This window comes from Homo sapiens, chromosome 3 (assembly GCF_000001405.40).
Source record: "Homo sapiens chromosome 3, GRCh38.p14 Primary Assembly".
Classification (NCBI taxonomy): Eukaryota; Metazoa; Chordata; class Mammalia; order Primates; family Hominidae; genus Homo; species Homo sapiens.
This window is the reverse complement of record NC_000003.12, coordinates 180,523,423-180,543,488: the sequence shown is the minus strand read 5'-3', so window position 1 is coordinate 180,543,488 and position 20,066 is coordinate 180,523,423. Positions and strand designations below refer to the sequence as shown.

At 38.9% G+C, this 20,066-nt stretch overlaps 1 long non-coding RNA gene and 1 other non-coding gene across 3 annotated transcripts in view; one reads left to right on the top strand and one right to left on the bottom strand.

Moving 5' to 3' along the window:
* TTC14-DT (TTC14 divergent transcript) overlaps positions 1–20,066 on the top strand; it is a 121,249-nt gene that overhangs the window by 58,625 nt on the left and 42,558 nt on the right. The window contains exons 5-6 of one of the 2 annotated variants that reach the window (NR_183701.1): positions 16,242–16,336; positions 17,314–17,662. The exons of the other annotated variant lie outside the window; for it this stretch is intronic. This is a non-coding gene — a long non-coding RNA (TTC14 divergent transcript). Of the gene's footprint in view, positions 1–16,241; positions 16,337–17,313; positions 17,663–20,066 lie in introns of those variants that run through there. 2 annotated transcript variants of the gene reach the window in all.
* LOC124900551 (U8 small nucleolar RNA) lies at positions 653–788 on the bottom strand. The gene has a single exon (XR_007096299.1). It is a non-coding gene; the product is annotated as a U8 small nucleolar RNA (small nucleolar RNA).

Here is a 20,066-nt window from a genome sequence, read left to right as displayed (position 1 = left end):
AAGTATCAGGTGGTGTTTATGACAGGAACTTGGAGGCAGGTAGGATGTCATCCCAAGCATCAGAATTTGAGAAGATAGACACTCCAAAGGATGTCAAAGGCCATTGACACCATGTGGGCTCTATGCTAAGCAGAATTAGCTAAGAGGAATGTAAAGCGCCAGAGCATAAGGATAGCAGAGACACAGGAAGCTGTGGAAATTCTATGTGAGATAGTCCCCATCCACTTTGGAGTATCTAAGAGACATCAGAAAGGATGGAAGCCTTGCCATTTGGTAGGTGAGAACTATTAATCTAGTGGCATTGGCAAAAAGGATTGAAGTAGCTATACTTAAGATCCACAAGCAGGTTGTAACTAGAGAGTCACTTGAGTTAAACTATATTTTATAAAATGAATTTTAAAAATCCCCCTAATTTGGTTGATAAGATCATCATTTATATAGAAAAAAACCTATCATTAACCAAAATTGGAAGAGCAGTTTCTTTCATATTACAGACATAATTGACTATTTCACAGTTTATAGCTTTGGTCCATATCTCAAAACCTGGGGTCCCAGGTTAATCAAAGGGTCATCAGGTGCTCCTTGTGGCTATTGATCACCCACATCCCATATTTTAGCCATAAACCTCTAATATATATTTTTTTCGGGAAGAATAAGATAGGAATAATCAGGATATTGTAAGTCATGATTACACAGAGACTTTAATCATGTATCATGTGAACTCCAATTATCATGTTCTAATCTGCCCTTCAAAAGGAGAAACAGATAAGGATTATTCCACCTGACCATAACTCCAAGATATCGTTATGGTATCTTTGTTACATTTATTCCTGCTCTTTGTCTTGATTTTCTTTATTTAGTTTGGCAAGCTTCTGCTCTTTGGCTATCTTGCTGCCATCTCCCTGTGAACAGATCAAGGGTTTTACACAGACATTGGATACGTGCTATGGATAAGTTTGCTTTGTGTTCTTGTCTTCTTATTTAACCATTTAACAGAAGGGCCTCTTCAGGGCTATATGTGCAGCTTTGAAAGAGTTTAATTTACTTACATTCATTTTGAAGTTCTGAAAAATTACTATAGTGCTCATTTGATTTTTTTCTCTTTAGGGTTCTCCCCTTCTTTTGTGTTTAGAGGAAAGATAAATTGAAGGAATATAGAGGGAAGGGGAAGAAACCATTTCTTTTTATTTTTTTATTTTATTTTTATTTTTATTATTTTATTTTACTATTATTATACTTTAAGTTTGAGGGCACATGTGCATAACGTGCAGGTTTGTTACATATGTATACATGTGCCATGTTGGTGTGCTGCACCCATTAACTCGTCATTTAGCATTAGGTATATCTCCTAATGCTATCCCTCCCCCGTCCCCCCACCCCACAACAGTCCCTGGTGTGTGATGTTCCCCTTCCTGTGTCCATGTGTTCTCATTGTTCAATTCCCACCTATGAGTGAGAACATGCGGTGTTTCGTTTTTTGTCCTTGCGATAGTTTGCTGAGAATGATGGTTTCCAGCTTCATCCATGACCCTACAAAGGACATGAACTCTTCATTTTTTATGGCTGCATAGTATTCCATGGTGTATATGTGCCACATTTTCTTTATCCAGTCTATCATTGTTGGACATTTGAGTTGGTTCCAAGTCTTTGCTATTGTGAATAGTGTGGCAATAAACATATGTGTGCATGTGTCTTTATAGCAGCATGATTTATAATCCTTTGGGTATATACCCAGTAATGGGATGGCTGGGTCAAATGGTATTTCTATTTCTAGATCCCTGAGGAATCACCACAGCGACTTCCACAGTGGTTGAACTAGTTTACAGTCTCACCAACAGTGTAAAAGTGTTCCTATTCCTCCACATCCTCTCCAGCACTTGTTGTTTCCTGACTTTTTAATGATCGCCATTCTAACTGGTGTGAGATGGTATCTCATTGTGGTTTTGATTTGCATTTCTCTGATGGCCAGTGATGATGAGGACTTTTTCATGTGTTTTTTGGCTGCATAAATGCCTTCTTTTGAGAAGTGTCTGTTCATATCCTTTGCCCACTTTTTGATGGGGTTGTTTGTTTTTTTCTTGTAAATTTGTTTGAGTTCACTGTAGATTCTGGATATTAGCCCTTTGTCAGATGAGTAGGTTGCGAAAATTTTCTCCCATTCTGTAGGTTGCCTGTTCACTCTGATGGTAGTTTCTTTTGCTGTGCAGAAGCTCTTTAGTTTAATTAGATCCCATTTGTCAATTTTGGCCTTTGTTGCCATTGCTTTTGGTGTTTTAGACATGAAGTCCTTGCCCATGCCTATGTCCTGAATGGTATTGCCTAGGTTTTCTTCTAGGGTTTTTATGGTTTTAGGTCTAACATTTAAGTCTTTAATCCATCTTGAATTAATTTTTGTATAAGGTGTAAGGAAGGGATCCAGTTTCAGCTTTCTACATATGGCTAGCCAGTTTTCCCAGCACCATTTATTAAATAGGGAATCCTTTCCCCCTTGCTTGTTTTTGTCAGATTTGTGGAAGATCAGATAGTTGTAGATATGCAGCATTATTCCTGAGGGCTCTGTTCTGTTCCATTGGTCTATATCTCTGTTTTGGTACCAGTACCATGCTGTTTTGGTTACTGTAGCCTTGTAGTATAGTTTGAGGTCAGGTAGCGTGATGCCTCCAGCTTTGTTCTTTTGGCTTAGAATTGACTTGGCAATGTGGGCTCTCTTTTGGTTCCATATGAACTTTAAAGTAGTTTTTTCCAATTCTGTGAAGAAAGTCATTGGTAGCTTGATGGGGATGGCATTGAATCTATAAATTACCTTGGGCAGTATGGCCATTTTCACGATATTGATTCTTCTACCCATGAGCATGGAATGTTCTTCCGTTTGTTTGTATCCTCTTTTATTTCATTGAGCTGTGGTTTGTAGTTCTCCTTGAAGAGGTCCTTCACATAGACATTGATGGGACGTATCTCAAAATAATAAGAGCTATCTATGACAAACCCACAGCCAATATCATACTGAATGGACAAAAACTGGAAGCATTCCCTTTGAAAACTGGCTCAAGACAGGGATGCCCTCTCTCACCACTCCTATTCAACATGGTGTTGGAAGTTCTGGCCAGGGCAATCAGGCAGGAGAAGGAAATAAAGGGCATTCAATTAGGAAAAGAGGAAGTCAAATTGTCCCTGTTTGCAGATGACATGATTGTATATCTAGAAAACCCCATCGTCTCAGCCCAAAATCTCCTTAAGCTGATAAGCAACTTCAGCAAAGTCTCAGGATACAAAATCAATGTGCAAAAATCACAAGCATTCTTATACACCAGTAACAGACAAACAGAGAGCCAAATTATGAGTGAACTCCCATTCACAATTGCTTCAAAGAGAACAAAATACCTAGGAAACCATTTCTTTTTAATTCTCCATTTGAGAATTTAAGAAGAAGCAGCAAAGAAACTAATTCTACATTTTAATAAAAATGAACAGATTCAGCTCATGGTGAAAAAATGATACGTAAAAATACATTTGAATTTTAACTTCAAAGTAGAAGTTAAAGGGGTTACTAAATGGTTCCAACTTTTTTTTGTAGCTAGATTTGACAAATATTTTAGGGGTTTTTAATAGGGGGTTACTAAATGGTTCCAACTTTTTTGGTAGCTAGATTTGACAAATTTTATTGAGGGATTACTCTGGCCTTCAGATGCAATAAAATAAAATCACAGAACATCCCTGGGGGTTATTATTTAGTCTCACTTTTAAGATGAAGAAACTAAGGTGAAATTTAGTAAGGTTAGTAAGTGGCAGAATCAGGATTAGAGCTCAGGCTTACACATTACTCTTCCGTTGTGCCCCAAACCAGTGCTTCTCTGTTTTGTGTTGCTACAACATACTACTACACACTAAATAATTTATAGGCAGAAATGTATTAGCTTAGGGTTCTGGAGGCTGGGAAGTCCAAGATCATCTGGGAAGGGAATTATTGCTGTATCATCCCATGACAGAAGCACAAATAGAGGGCACATGAGAGAAAAGGGGGCCAAAATTATCCTTTTGTAAGGAAACCATTCCTGTGATAACTCACCCACCACTCATCCATTCATGAGGGTAAAGCCCTCATGGTCTAACCACCACTAATCATTAGGCCTTATCTTCCAACAATGTTATAATGAGGATTAAGCTTCCAGCACATGAGTTTTGGGGGACATACTCAAACCTTAGCTTCTCCAATTATGATCTACACATAAATCACCAGGGGGTCTGGTTAAACTGTAGAGTTTTTAAAAAATTATTTTTAAATTTTGTGGATACATAGTACATGAATATATTTATGGGGTACATGAGATATTTTGATACAAGCATACAATGCAGAATAATCACATCAGGGCAAGAACTGATAAATAAATTCAGTAAGGTTTCAGAATACAAAATTAATGTACACAAATGAGTAGTCCTGCTATATACCAACAGTGACCAAGCTGAGAATCAAATCAAGAATTCAACCCATTCTACAATAGCTGCAAAAAATCAAAATACTTAGGAATAGACCTAACCAAGGAGGTGAAAGACCTCTGCAAGGAAAACTACAAAACACTGCTGAAAGAAATCAGATGACACAAACAAATGGAACAAATGACAAACAAATCCTATGCTCATGGATGGATAGAATCAATATTGTGAAAATGACCATACTGCCAAAAGCAATCTATAAATTAATGCAGTTCCCATCCAAATACCACCATCATTCTTCACAGAACTAGAAAAACAATTCTAAAATTTTTATGGTATCAAAAAAGAGCCTGCATAGCCAAAGCATGACTAAGCAAAAAGAACAAATCTGAAAGCATTACATTACCTGACTTCAAAATATACTATAAGGCTAGAGTCACCAAAACAGCATGGTACTGGTGTAAAAATAGGCACATAGGCCAATGAAGCAGAATAAATAACCCAGAAATAAGGCCACATACTTACAGCCAACTGACCTTCAATAAAGCAAACAAAAACATAAAGTGGGGAAAGAACACCTTATTTAACAAATGGTGCTGGGATAATTGGCAAGCCACATGTAGAGAATGAAACTAGATCCTCATCTCTCACCTTATACAAAAATCAACTCAGGATGGATCAAAGACTTAAATCTAAGACCTGAAACCATAAAAATTCTATAAGATAACATTGGAAAACCCCTTCTAGACATTGGCTTAGGTAAAGACTTTATGACCAAGAACCCAAAGACAAATGCAACAAAAACCAAGATAAATAAATGGGACATAATTAAACTAAAAAGCTTCTGCACAGCAGAAGAAATCTTTAGCAGAGTAAATAGACAACCCACAGAATGGGAGAAAATCTTCACAAACTATGCATCCAACAAAGAGTTAATATGGAGAATCTACAAGGAACTCAAATCAGCAAGAAAAAATAATCTCATCAAAAAGTGGGCTAAGGACATGAATAGACAATTCTCAAAAGAAACCATACAAATGGCCAACAAACATATAAAAATACTCAACATCACTAATTATCAAGGAAATGCAAATCAAAACCACAGTGTGATACCACCTCACTGCTGCAAGAATGTCCATAATAAAAAAAAATAGATGTTGGCATGGATGTGGTGAAAAGGGAACACTTTTACACTGCTGGTGGGACTGTAAACTGGTACCACCATTAGTAGTTTCCTTTTCACTGTGAAGATTCCTTAAATAACCAAAAGTAGATCTACCGTTTGATCCAGCAGTCCCACTCCTGGGTATCTACCCAAAAGAAAAGAGGTCATTATACAAAAAAGATATGTGCACACACATGTTTATAGCAGCACAATTTGCAATCGCAAAAATATGGAACCAGCTCAAATGCCCATCAATCAATGAATGGATAAAGAAAATGTGAGACACACACACACACACACACACACACACACACACCCCATGGAATACTACTCAGCCATGAAAAGGAATAAAATAACGGCATTTGCAACAACCTAGATGGAATTGGAGACCATTACTCTAAGTGAAGTAACTCAGGAATAGAAAACCAAATATCTTACATTCTCACTTATAAGTGGGGGCTAAGCTATGAGGATGCAAAGAATGATACAATGGACTTTGGGGACTCAGGAGAAGGGCAGGAGGGGGTGAGGGATAAAAGACTACACATCAGGTACAGTTACTCTACACCTGCTCAGGTGATGGGTGCACCAAAATCTCAGAAATAATCATTAAAGAACTTACCCATATAACCAAACACCACCTGTTACCCCAAAACCAATTGAAATAAAAAAGAAAAATTAAAAAAAATCACATTAGGGCAAATACGGTATCCATCACCTCAAGCATTTATCATTTCTTTGTGTTACAGACATCCCATTTATATACTCCTGTAGTTATTTAAAAATGTATAACAACTTTTGTTGACTGTAATCACCCTGTTGTGCTATCAAATACTAGATCTTATTAATTCTTTCTAACTATATTTTTGTACTTATTAACCATACCAGGGTCCGTCCCTGCCCTGCATTATTCTTAGCAGCCTCTGGTAATCATCATTCTACTCTCTATCTCCATGAATTTAATTGTTTTAATTTTTACCTCCCACAAATGAATGAGAACATGTGAAGTCTATCTTTCTGTGCCCGGCTTATTTCACTTAACATAATGTCCTCCAGTGCCATGCATGTTGCATATGACAGAATCTCCTACTTTTTAATGGTTGAATAGTACTCTGTTGTGTATATGTACCACATTTTCTTTTTCCATTCATCTGTCGATGGACATTTAGGTTGCTTCCAAATCTTGGCTATTGTGAATAAGCATGGCAGTGCAATAAACACATGGCAGTGCTTATTATAAAATAAAAGTATATCTCTTTGATTTACTGATTTTATTTCTTTTGAGCGTATACCTAGCAGTGGGATTGCTGGATCATATAGTAGTTATATTTTTAGTTATCTGAGAAACTTACATATTGTTCTCCATAGTGGCTGTACTAATTTACATTCCCACCAACAGTGTATGAGGGTTCCTTTTTCTTTACATTCTCACCAGCATTTGTTACTGCCTGTCTTTTGGATACAGTCAATTTTAACTGGGGTGAGATAATAATATCTCATTTGATTTGTATTTCTCTGATGATTGGTGATGTTGAGCACCTTTCCATATATGTGTTTGCCATTTGTATGTCTTTTTTTGAGAAATGTCTAAATCTTTTGCCCATTTTTAAATTGGATTATTAGATTTTTTTCCTATTGAGTTGTTCAAGCTCCTTATATATTCCTTTTATTAATCCCTTGTCAGATAGATAGTTTGCAAATTTTTTTCCCCATTCTGTGGGTTGTTTCTTCATTTTGTTGATTGTTTCCTTTGCTGTGCAGAAGTTCTTTAACTTGAGATGTTCCCATTTGTCCATTTTTGCTTGGGTTGCCTGTGCTTTGGAGTATTACTCAATAAATCTTTGCCCAGTCCAATGTCCTGGAGAGTTTCCCTAATGTTTTCTTTTAGTAGTTTCGTAGTTTGAGGTCTAATATTTGTCTGTAATCCATTGTGATTTCAATACTATCTTTCCTTTTCTCATCTTATATGATGTTAGAACCAGGTACTGTGAATTTTGTTCTTAGGAAGGTGCTTTCTTGTGTGTATAGTTGTTCAATTTGGTGTTCCTACCATGGCGGGCAGGAGAGAATTATCACTGGGATTCTTCTTGGCCATCATCTACTCTCACTCTAAACTGTGAGTTTTAATGCAGCAGGTCTGGGGTAGAGTCTGAGATTCTGCTTGCCTAACAATCTCCCAGGGAAAGCTGATGTAGCTGGTTCACACACCACACTGTGAGTGACAAGACCTTAAACTTTTCTGACTTGGAGAAATAAAAAGGAACTTCTGTAATGACAAGCTTAAGAGGCACAATTAATACACCTACCAGTTTGCCTTTTAAATATTTTGTTTTTTGGAAAAATCTTACCGTGTATTCTTTATGATCCCGGAATAATTTGATTGTGTTCACAATTGTTCTGGTATGATCCAGTGAATATATAACATGCCTTTGAGAACATGATAGTAGGAGATACTAGTAAAAAAAAGTACTCAGTGACTTTTTTGAAATAATAACTTGAAAACAAATCCAAATTAGACAATGCAGAGTAATTATGGCAAAGAAAGTTTGGGTGACTACTGAGAAAATTACTTCCTCAATCAGTTGCGTGGAAGATTTAATTGAAGAAAATGAATACACTCCCATCTTTCTCTTTTCTTTAATATTTATTTGGGCTTTAAATAGGCAACATCAGCTATAATCTAGTTGAGATCAACAGCCCCCAAGTTATAAACAGAAGCTGTTCAGTCAAAATTTTCCAAATCAAGTCTGACATCAGATAAGCCGTTCTGAGGGCTTTAAGATTGAAGTATATTTCTTTTTAGTGCTCCTAAATTTGCGAATTCTTTTCTTGTGACTAAAAGCTAATAAAACTATTTTTAAATTTAATGATAGTCATAAGAAGATTTCACTGATAGTAGAAGTTACAGCAGGCAGTCTACTTCTAACAAGAGAGTATTCTAAATTTTAGAATAAGTAGTAGAGTCTGAAGAATTCAGAGGTGAGGATATCAACTACCCTAAGACCCCTTCCTCCAATGTCATATGAAGACATTGAGTCCAAAAGAGATGTATTAACTTGTTTGAGGTCAATCAGCTTGTTGGTGGCACAATTTTTGTTAGAAGTTTGGTCAATGGTCACAGAGTCAACTGTTAGAAAGGCCAAGTATATAAAATATAACATAAAAGGAGATCATGGGAAATGTGGTAAATAGCATAGGGGGAAGGTCACTGACAAACAGTTCAAACTGATTATTTATATGTGAAAATGAGGGCTCAGTATAGACAGATCATCTGCCTTTTATTTTTAAATTTTAAAAGTTTTTTATTTTTTTTTGAGACAGGGTCTCACTCAGGCTGGAATGCAGTGGTGCGATATTGGCTCACTGCAACCTCTGCTTCCTGGGCTCAAGTGATCCTCCCACCTCAGCCCCCCAAGTAGCTGGGACTAAGGCATACATGCCACCACACCTGCTAATTTTTGTATATTTGTAGAGACGGGGTTTTGCCATGTTGCCCAGGCTGGTCTCAAACTCCTGAGCTCAAGCAATCCACCCTCCTTGGCCTCTCAAAGTTCTAGGATTACAGGTGTAAGCCACCATGCCTGGCCTCATCTGCTTTTTAAATAAAAGTTGGGAATTCAGAATTATATGAAAATATTTTAATTGAAAAATACAATGAACAAAAACAAAAGCAAAAACAGTGTGAGTCAAACAAAACACACATGTAGAGAAGACTGGACTTATGGGGCTGTGTTTGTATGATGTCTGACCCAGGCTTCTGTTCTCCCAGTCTAATGTGCTTTTATTTAAAAAAATTTTTAAGTTTTACAGTTTTTAAAATATGTGTGGGTACATAGTAGGTGTATATATTCATGGGATACTTGAGATGTTTGATACAGGCATGCAATGTGAAATAAGCATATCATAGAAAATGGGAGTATCCATTCCCTCAAGCATTTATCCTTTGAATTACAAACAAACCAATTATACTTTATAAGTTATTTTAAAATGTACAATTAAGTTATTATTGATTATAATCACCCTATTGTGCTATCAAATCATATGTCTTATTTATTTTTTCTATTTTTTTTGTACCCATTAACCATCCTTACCTTCCTCGAGCCCTCCAATACCCTTTCCAGCCTCTGGTAACCCATCCTTGTACTTTCTATGTCCATGATTTCAATTGTTTAGATTTTCAGATCCCGCAAGTAAGTAAGAACATGCAATGCTTCTCTTTCTTTGCCTACCTTACTTTTCTTAACATAATGATCTCCAGTTCCATCCATGTTGTTGCAAATGACTGGATCTCATTCTTGTTTATTGTTGAACAGTACTTCATTGTGTATATGTACCATGTTTTCTTTATCTATTCGTCTGTTGATGGACACTTAGGTTGCTTCCAAATCTTAGCTATTGTAAACAGTGCTGCAACAAACAGAGGAGTGCAGATATCTCTTTGATATACTGATTTTCTTTCTTTTGGGTACATACGCATCAGTGGAATTGCTGGATCATACGGTAGCTAAATTTTAGTTTTCTGAGGAGCCTCAAAACTGTTCTCCGTAGTGGGTTGTACTAATTTACATTCAACAGTGTACAAGGGTTCCTTTTTCTCTACATCCCTGCCAGCATTTGTTATTGCCCGTCTTTTGGATATAAGCCATTTTAACTGGGGTGAGGTGATATCTTATTATAGTTTTACATTCAATGTTATTATTGATAAGTAAGGACTAACTCCTGCCATTTTGTTATTTGTTTTCTGGTTACTTTGTGGTCTTCCTTCTTTGTTTCATTCTCATCTTCCTCTAGTGAAAGTGATTTTCTCTGGTAATATAATTTAGTTTCTTGCTTTTTATTTTTTGTGTATCCATTGTATGTTTTTGGCTTGAGGTTACCATGAGGCTTGTAAATCTATCTTATAACCTTTTATTTTAACCAGACAAAAACTTAGCACTATTTGCCTAAACAAACAAGGAAAAAGAAAACTATTAAAAACTCTATGCCTTAGTTTCATCCCCTCAATTTTTAACTTTTGTTGTTTCTGTTATATTTCATTGTACTGATTATGTCTTGGAATGTTGTTGTAGTTATTATTTTAGATTGGTTCATTGTTTAGTCTTTCTACTTAGGATAAGAGTTTCAGTGTTATAATATTCTGTGTTTTCCTGTGTACTTACTTTTACAGTGAGTTTTGTACCCTGAGATTGTTATTAGATCTTTAGGGTGTCGATTTGCTGGCTGGAAACCTCTGTGGCTGCAGCATTTTTGCCCAAGTTCTTGTCCTGCATTGTCCAGGAAGAATGAGGTATGCAGACAAGTGAAGAGTGAACAAGATGAAGATAAGCTTTATTGAGTATTACAACAACTCATAGGAGACCTGCAGTGGGTAGCTCCTCTCTGTGGGCAGATTACTGTCAAGTGTTCAGTTCTCAGCAGAGAGGAGGCCCTGGAGATGGTAGCTTCTCTCTGCTACTGGTCATCCTGATGTCTGTAGCTCTCAGCAGATATGAGGCCCTGGAGAGGGTGGCTCCTCTCTGCTGGCAGGTCACCTCTGCAGCTCTCAGCAGAGAGGGTAGCTCCTCTCTACAGCTGGTTGTCCTGTCATCTGCAGCTCTCAGCAGAGAGTGTAGCTTCTCTCTGCAGCTGGTTTTCCCATTGTCTGTCTGCCCTCTTTATCCTCTGGTCATCCTCGGCCCTGCTCTGGCTGAGCCAGGGATTTTATGGACCTCAGAAAGGAGGAAGTGTGTTCCAGTTAGTCCATGGGTGGCCATGGGCGCCTGGAAGAGGCACCAGGAGACCCCACTTAGGTCTGCAGGTCTGGCACTCCAGCCCCCAGCCCCCAGCCTTCAGGCCCTCCATGGCCTAAAGATGGGGCCTTACTGGGGACCTGTGTTCTACCCAGGAATCAATCTGCCTCCAGCTGCCATTCATGGCCCTTGGGGGTTGCCTCCAATCCCCTGCTCAGAGATCAGAACAGGTTCCAGGAGTGGAGAGAGGTCAGGCAGCAGGAGAAGACACCCCAGAGCCTGCAGGGATGGGGGGGGGGTCCTTCCTGGGGCCCCCGAGGGTGCAGACTGCAGAGATGCCCAGGTTCCTGTGCCTGGGTGGCAGGCTGCAGCTGCACCTGGGAGCTCTCGCTCTGCCAACTCGGAAGGGGTGGGGCTCCTACTTGTCCGCGGCTCCCACCAAATCCATGGAACCAGAGGCCCAAGTCTGCAGTCGAGGGTCCTGCAGCTGCAGCTGCACCTTGGAGGTCAGATCCTGCCTGTTCCCAGCCCCTCTCCCAGAGGACAGGGAGGCTCAGATCCACAGTGGCAGTTTGGGTGGCTGTGGGTCCTGCCTGCTCCATAGAGCAGGAGGCCTGGGTCTGTAGCTGCCTTTCGGTGGCTGCAGTGGCACCCAGGGAGCTCCTGCCCCAACTCAGAAGGGGTGGGGCTCCCACCAGCTCCATGGAGTGGGCAGCCCCAGCCACCCTTCCCTGCTGCAGCCGGCATGATGGCAGGAGCCACTGCCATCAAGATGATTATTTATTGCTCATTAATGTCCTTTTTTTTTTCATTTAGCATTTTTTGTAGGACAGGTCTGGTATGAATGTAATCTTTCAGCTTTTGTTTGTCTGTGAAGTCTTTATTTCTCCTTCATGTTTCAAAGCATATGCTATTGTAGGGTAAAAGTTTTTGTCCTTCGGCACTTTAAATATGTCATGCCACTCTCTCCTGAACTGTAAGGTTTCCACTGAGAAGCCTGCTGTCAGACCTATTGGAGCTCCATTTTATGTTGTTTCTTTTCTCTTGCTGCTTTTAGGACCCTTTCTTTATCCTTGACCTTTGGGAGTTTCATTATTAAATGCCTTGAGGTAATCTTCTTTGGGTTAAATCTGCTTGGTGTTCAATAACCATCTTGTACTTGGATACCGATATCTTTCTCTAGGTTTGAGAAGTTCTCTGTTATTCTGCCATTGAATAAGCTTTTTACCCCATCTCTTTCTCTACCTCCTCTTTAGGGCTGATAACTTTTAAATTTGTCCTTTTGAGGCTATTTTCTTGATCCTGTAGGTGTACTTTATGTTTTTTACTTTTTTCTTTTGTCTCATCTGACCTGTATTTTCAATTTAGCCTGTCTTTAAGCTCACCAATTCTTTCCCGTGCTTGATCCATTCTGTTATTAAAGGACTGTGATGCATTCTTCAGTATGCCAGTTGCATTTTTCAACTCTAGAATTTCTGCTTGATTCTTTTAATTATTTGAATCTCTTTGCTTGTCTGCTATCAAATTTATCTGATATCATTCTGAATTCCTTCTTTGTGTTATCTTTAATTTCTTTTTGTTTCCTCAACCCAGATATTTTGAATTCTCTGCCTGAAAGGTCACATATCTCTGTTTCTCTAGGATTGCTCCCTGGTGCCTTATTTAGTTCATTGGGTGAGGTCATGTTTTCCTGGATGATGTTGATGCTAGCAGATGTTCTTCAGTGTCTGGGATTGAAGAGTTAGGTATTTATTGTAATCTTCACTGTCTTGAATTATTTTTAGCTGTCCTTTTTGGAAAGGCTTTTCAGATATCTAAAAGGACTTGGGTGTTGTGATCTAAGCTGTATTTACTTTAGGGGGCCCCAGTAATGCTGTGGCACTTGCAGACTCGTAGAGGTACTGTCTTGATGGTCTTGGACAAGATCTGGGAGAATTCTCTGGATTACCGGGCAGACAGTCTTGTTTCTTCCCTTGCTTTCCTTTCTCCCAAACAAAGAGTCTGTCTTTGTTCTGACCCACCTAAAGCTAGGGGTGGAGTGACACAGCACCCGTGTGGTGACCACCACAGTGACTGTGCTGGATCAGACCAGAAGCCAGCACAGCACTGGGTCTCGCCCAAGGTCTGCCGTAGCCACCTTCTGGCTAGTATCCATGTCCACTCAAAACGCTGGGGCTCTACAATCAGCAAGTGGCAAAGCAAGCCAGGCCTTTATCTTCTCCTTCAGGGAGGCAAGGTCTCCCAGGCCCTGGGTGAGTCCAGAGGAGCTGTCTGGGAGTCAGGGACTAGAGTAAAAAACCTTAGAAGTCTACCAGGTATTCTATTGTATTGCAGCTGAGCTTGCACTAAAACCACAGGATGCCGTCCTCCCACTCTTCCCTTCTCTTTTTAAAGGCAGAAGAGCCTCACCTTGTAGCCACCACCACCCCAGGCCACAAGGAGGATGGCCAGACTACCAACCAATGTTCCCTTAAGTCCCAAAGGCTATTAAGTCAGCTTGTGATGCATGTTGCCTGACCTTGGACTTACCCTTCAGGGCAATGGGCTCCACTCTGGACCAGGGCAGGTCCAGAAGTGCCATCTAATATGGTTCGGCTCTGTGTCCCACCCAAATCTCATGTTGAATTGTAATTCCCAGTGTTGGAGAGGGACCTAGTGGAGGTGATTGGATCATGGGATGGATTTCCCCCTTGCTGTTCTCATGATAGTGGGTTCTCATGAGATCTGATGATTTAAAAGTGTGTGGCACTTCCCCCTTTGCACTCTCTTTCTCCTGCGCCACCATGTAAAAATTGTGCCTGCTTCCCCTTTGCCTTCAGCTATGATTTTAAGTTTCCTGAGGCCTCTCCAGCCATGCCTTCTGTACAGCCTGCAGAACCATGAGTCAATTAAACATCTTTCCTCCATAAATTACCCAGTCTCAGGTATGTCTTTATAGCAGTATGAAAACAGACTAATACACCATCCAGGAATCAAGTCCTGGAGTTGGAAACCCCAAGATCCCAGTTGGTGCTCTGCCTCGCTGTGGCTGTGCTGGTACCTCAGGTGCAAGACAAAGTCCCCTTTATGTTTCCCTCTGCTTTTTTCTCAAGCAGAAGGAAAGCCCTGTAGCTACCACAGCTGGGAGGTTATCAGTGTTATTAGCCTTGGCATTCATTCTTGGTCTCAACCATTTGTGAGACCTACTGATAGGTCAATGTCATATAATAAATGGCCATTTTCCTAACACATAAATTTAAGCTGCAACATTTGATTGCTGTGAATAAGAGAGATATTTATTTGGTGGGAGAGCTTAAACTACATTTCAGCATTTGCAAGTATTAAAAAAGTTAATACAAGTAAAGTATATCAAGCATATAGAAAATCAATGTTAGCTGATATTATTATTTATTATTTCTTGTGGCTTTTTGTTTTCTATTTTCTGCTATGCTTATAATAATTCTTGTAAAACTATTCTTTAATGCGATTTGTGGGGAAAATTATTTGCTGCTATTGTAGTCCAGAATTGGGAATTACCCAAGAAACCAAGACTTATCCCTTGCAGATGTCAAGGGTTTCTTCTGTTCAGCCCTGGGATCTCGAGGAAACTTGCCAAATTTAGCCTAGTACATAAACATACCAACTTGGGTAATAATTAAGGTGCCATGCCTTACCCTGTTTTTGAGAGGTAGGATACTAAAATTGAAGTTAAATTTATCAGCATATTTTGAGAATAGGTATGACGGAGATGGATTCCAGTATTTCTGGATGGAAACAACTACTTGCTAGCCCCAAAGGAAAAGGCTGCTAGAGCTGCTTCTGCAAAATACTTCTGGGTAACTGGAAACTTTGGGAGTCCTTTGAGACTCATACCATTTGACTAGGTCACTCTTTGTCCTTCCTTATCATTATCATCTGTAGATTTTAAGGATTATATTATTTCTGACCAATAATAATTTAATTCTAATTTTCTACTGATGTGTGTGTGTGTGTGTGTGTGTGTGTGTGTATGTGTGTGTGTGTGTGTGTGTGACAGAGTCTCACTCCATCACCCAGGCTGGACTGCAGTGGTGTGATCTTGGTTCACTGCAACCTGTGTCTCCTGGATTCAAGTGATTCTTGTGCCTCAGCCTCTTGAGTCAGCAGCTGGAATTACAGGGGCGCACTTGATTTTTGTATTTTTAGTAGAGATGGGGTTTTACTATATTGGCCAGGCTGGTCTTGAACTCCTGACTTCAATTCAGGTTAGGTATGGGCTCCCACACCTAACCTTATTGATTTTTTTCCATTAAAAAGTTTATTTTCATGTATCACATTTTGAGTTAGTTATATTATGCACAAATTATGTTATAGAAAAGGCATGCTTAGTTTTTGGTCTGATGAATGTGGATAAGAGAAAAATTTATCGTGGCTGTGAGCAGTCCAAAATATGGTCTAGAATAAGGAATGTAGGAAATGAAGACTATTGTAGGGCTTATTAAATTATAACATTTCATAATTAAATGAAAACTAATAAATGAAATATAAACATCAGACTTGATTTTTTCCCCTAAAGATACAGTTTTAAAAATTAAATGGAAAAATGCTCATAGAAAATTATCTTTAGAATTTATCTTTTTCTGACTAGTTATTTACCTTTTGTATTTTTTAGTAATAAAATTTACTTGGTGGAGTATTTTCCTTCCTTAACCATACTTTAATATTTTTGACTATCTTACCTCTCTCAACCTGAAGGCAGACAGTGAGCAGCAAGGGATTTGGAGACAAACTTTGGGGAATTTGAGTGTTTTTAAAAGTCACCTCCATAAAATTTTTATTTTTTTCACAAAACCCTTAGACATAAAGTTCTCTATGTGCTGCTCCAAATGAAGTTTCCTTTTAGACAGAGCTGTGGTGTTTCAAAATTAAGTCTCCTTATGGCCTGCCTTTCTCCCTAGGCAGAACACCTGAGCCACAGTATCAGAACTAGGGTTGGAAGCCTGCTTTTCCTGGAATGAAACCCCTCACTCTTCAAGTGTCCAGGAGACAAGAGGTAACAGTCCCTGGTCTCCATATTCATGTGTGAAATCTCTGCCCTATGAGCAAGCTGAGATGAGGGTGATTTGGGACCCAGTACTGTGGCTGGAGTAGGCTTCCATTCTCTGAGCCAGGGCAGAGATGGGGAGACCTGCTACTCTCTACAATCTGGAATAGAGTTTCTGCAGCACAGGGCATGGCTGGGGCAGGATGGCAGCCTACTCCTGCTGTGGGGGAACTGTAGCCCCAAACCAGGTGTGGGGAAGGAATAGAACTCCTGTCTTTTTGGTTGCAACTGCCTGGAGTAAAGGACTTGGGGTACAGCTTCTATAATACAGAGTTGGCATTGGGGGAAAGGGAGCAAGTCGTGACCCAAAGGCCACAGACTTGCTTTTCTTACTGAGATTTACTAGATTTTCTCAAATAAATGTTTCACCATTTGCTGTATGTTTTTAAGACACTTGCCAGATGACTGTTGTGTGTATTTTAAAAGTAGTTTTTACCAGTTTTATTTCCTTTTTCTGGGGAGACAGTCACTGAGCTTATTATTCCCGCGTTCTGGAGGTACAACTTTGAGCTTTTTCTAGAGGTGCAAGTCACATAAATTCCTAGTGCTTCATGTTTCTCATTTATAAAATAAAGCTTGTCATGAGTATTTACTCAAATGATGTCTGAAATTTACCTAGTTCATAGAGGTAATAGAATGGATATTAGATCTCTTTTCTGCTTACCCTTTTGCTGATTATAGTTTCAATGTTTTTTACTCTATTTCATCAAGAGCCTTCAGCTCAAATTTACAGTATATATATTCTGTCTGTAAAGACTTCAGATCACTCAGCTATTTGTCAGAAAAATAAGATGCTTAATCAATCAGTGAAAATCTTATGTTTATTTCATATTAATTCAACAACTATTTATTGATTTCCTATTCTTGCTAGTCATTGTGCAAGCCTATCTCTAGAGAGGCTAACAGACTCTTTCTGGCTTTGAAAGAAACAAGCTGCCATATTGAAACAAGCTGCCATATTATGTGTGAGCTGCCCTAAGGAAAGACACACATGGTAAGGAAGAGAGGATGACCTCTGGCTGATAGGCAGCAAGAAACTAAGGACCTCAGTCTGAGAACCTGCAAGGAGCTGAATTCTTCCAATTACCATGTGAGCTTGGAAGCAGCTCCTTCCCCAGTCAAGCCTCAGATGAGACCCCAGCCCTGGCCAACACCTTGATTGCAGCCTCTTATGAAGATTGTAGTCCCTAAGCAGAAAATCCAGATAACCTGTGCCCAGATTGCTGAGCCACAGAAATTCACTGAGATAATAAACGTGTGTTTCAAGCTGCTGAATTTGTGGTAATTTGTTGAAAACTAATAGGTAACTAACAGATAATGTATGCCCTGTTCTTTAAACATATTCATTTATTTCTCCCTTTCTTTTCTCTAGCTCAGTGTTTCTCAACCTTGATACTGCTAACATTTTGGCCCAGGTCATTTATTATGGGGAGCTGTCCTGTGCATTGTAGGATGTTTGCAGCACTTCTGTCCTTTACCCACTACATGCCAATAGCACCTTCCCAATTTTGACAATAAAAAATACCTTCAGATATTGTCAAATGCTCCCTGGAGGGAGGACCCTCCCTACTGAGAACCATTGTGTTCCCTTTGTTTATAATACACTTACCCATCATTTTTGCTTGATAATCTGTTATAACAGAGTTCAAATGTCTTGTCCTCTGATGCTTTGACTGATAAAGAGGGTATAGGCGGATTATTTTTAGGAACGTCTCCAAATTCTTTCTGTCTCTACCCTGATAAGGTGGGTTGTACATGGTATAAAATTTTAGGATGATCTAATTATTGATATTATTATTTTTATTATGTGCAGGATTGTGTAGGGTTATAGGAAGATTTTCTGTTCCCCAAGGTTTACAGAATATTGATTTAAAATCATTATGTGTGCCCTCAAACAATCAAATATTTGAGATCCTAGCCCTGGCCAACACCAGTCATAGATTTAAGTAGTCAAATTATAGTAGGAGGTGGGAAAACAAATAACTGCCATTGGATAAAAGTTTTCATAAATGTGATAAATTTAAAAATATAATCATTGTCAAAAATAATCAAGCTTGTCTTCTTTTTGTTTACTAACAACTTTCTTCATGTGGACTGTGTGAGACATTTTGGTTTTGACATTAAAGCAGTAGCATAACTCAGTTCCATACATAATTTATTTTGTTTTTGAAGTGTGAATTCAGAAACTCATTTTAATGCATAATTAAGCTAAATTTTGTGTGGTTTATTTCATTTCACTTTTAGAGATTATCTACTTGTGTTTGACATGCATTTATGAATGCTTTAGTAACTCAATAATGAGACATTGGAGTCATTTTCTTAAAACCAAAGAAAAAAAATAATGTCCCATGGAGGTAGGGGTATGGTATTCTTGACTCTGAGAAATATTTGCTTTTCTAATCACCTGAGAGATATATTGAGGGTACACTCATGATCTCCTATCTAATCTGCATGATTTTATTCTGAGATTTTGCTGCCATTTTGAATTACAGGATAGCATGTTGACAGTCAACTTCAAGGATTTCTCATAGGCATATTTGGTGCAAACTAAACTTTATTAGTCACTGTGTGAATTAAGATAAGAAAAAAATTAAAGTTACTCCCATTTCCTTTAACTTGGCAAATGAGACAGATAAAAACTTCCTCTAGTTCTATTTCACAGTTTAAAAATTACCATAATTTGAGAGGAGTGTGCTGTTTTCACTTGGCCATTTGTATACTTTAGTGGACTTGAAGGTTAGACTTTGTTACGGTTTGGCTCTGTGTCCTCACCCAAATCTCATCTCGAATTGTAATCCCCGCATGTCAAGGGAGGGACCTGTAATCCCCATGTGTCAAGGGAAGGATGCGATTGGATCATGGGGCAAGTTTCCCCATGTTGTTCTTGCGATAGTGAGTGAGTTCTCACAAGATTTAATGGTTTTATATGCCTGGCATTTCCCCTGCTTGCATTTCTGTCTCCTGTCTCCATGTGAGGAAGGTCCTTGCTTTCCCTTTGCCTTCTGCCATGATTGTAAGATTCCTGAGGCCTCCCTATCTGTGTGGAACTGTGAATCAATTAAACCTCTTTCCTTTATTAATTACCCAGTCTTGGATAGTATCTTTATAGCAGTGTGAGAACTGACTAATACAGATTCGATTGCTTTATATACTGAAGTTCCATGTTAGTATTTTGGTGTTTTGATTTTTTATAAAATCTGAAACAATTCATTGTATATAGAGCTTCAAGTTCATGGATAGCTTAGAGACAGTGGATCCTCTATACATTATATAATGATATATTGTATCATTTAGGACTCTAGATTGCGAGCTCCAGAAAATGAAACTCAAACTGGCATAAGAAAAATGAAGAATTTAATACCTCATGTAACTAAAAAGTCCAGAAGGTATGTCTGGCTTTCAGGTGTAGGTGCAGACCTTGAGGCCCAAGCTCTCAAATGGTTTCATTAGGACTCTGTTTCTCTCCACTCATTAGCTCTGTCTTCCATTTTTTCTACTGTAACTACAGCCTGAATTTTTAAGAACATGGCAGGTGCTATGAGAATTACATAGCTGGAGTAAAGTGAAGAGCAGTTCCCTGAAGAAGAAGGAGGGGAGTTTGGGGAATGTGGAGTTCTGGTCAGAAGAAAAGATGAATATGGGGCAGACTGAAAATTGGTATCTACTCCAGAACCCAAAT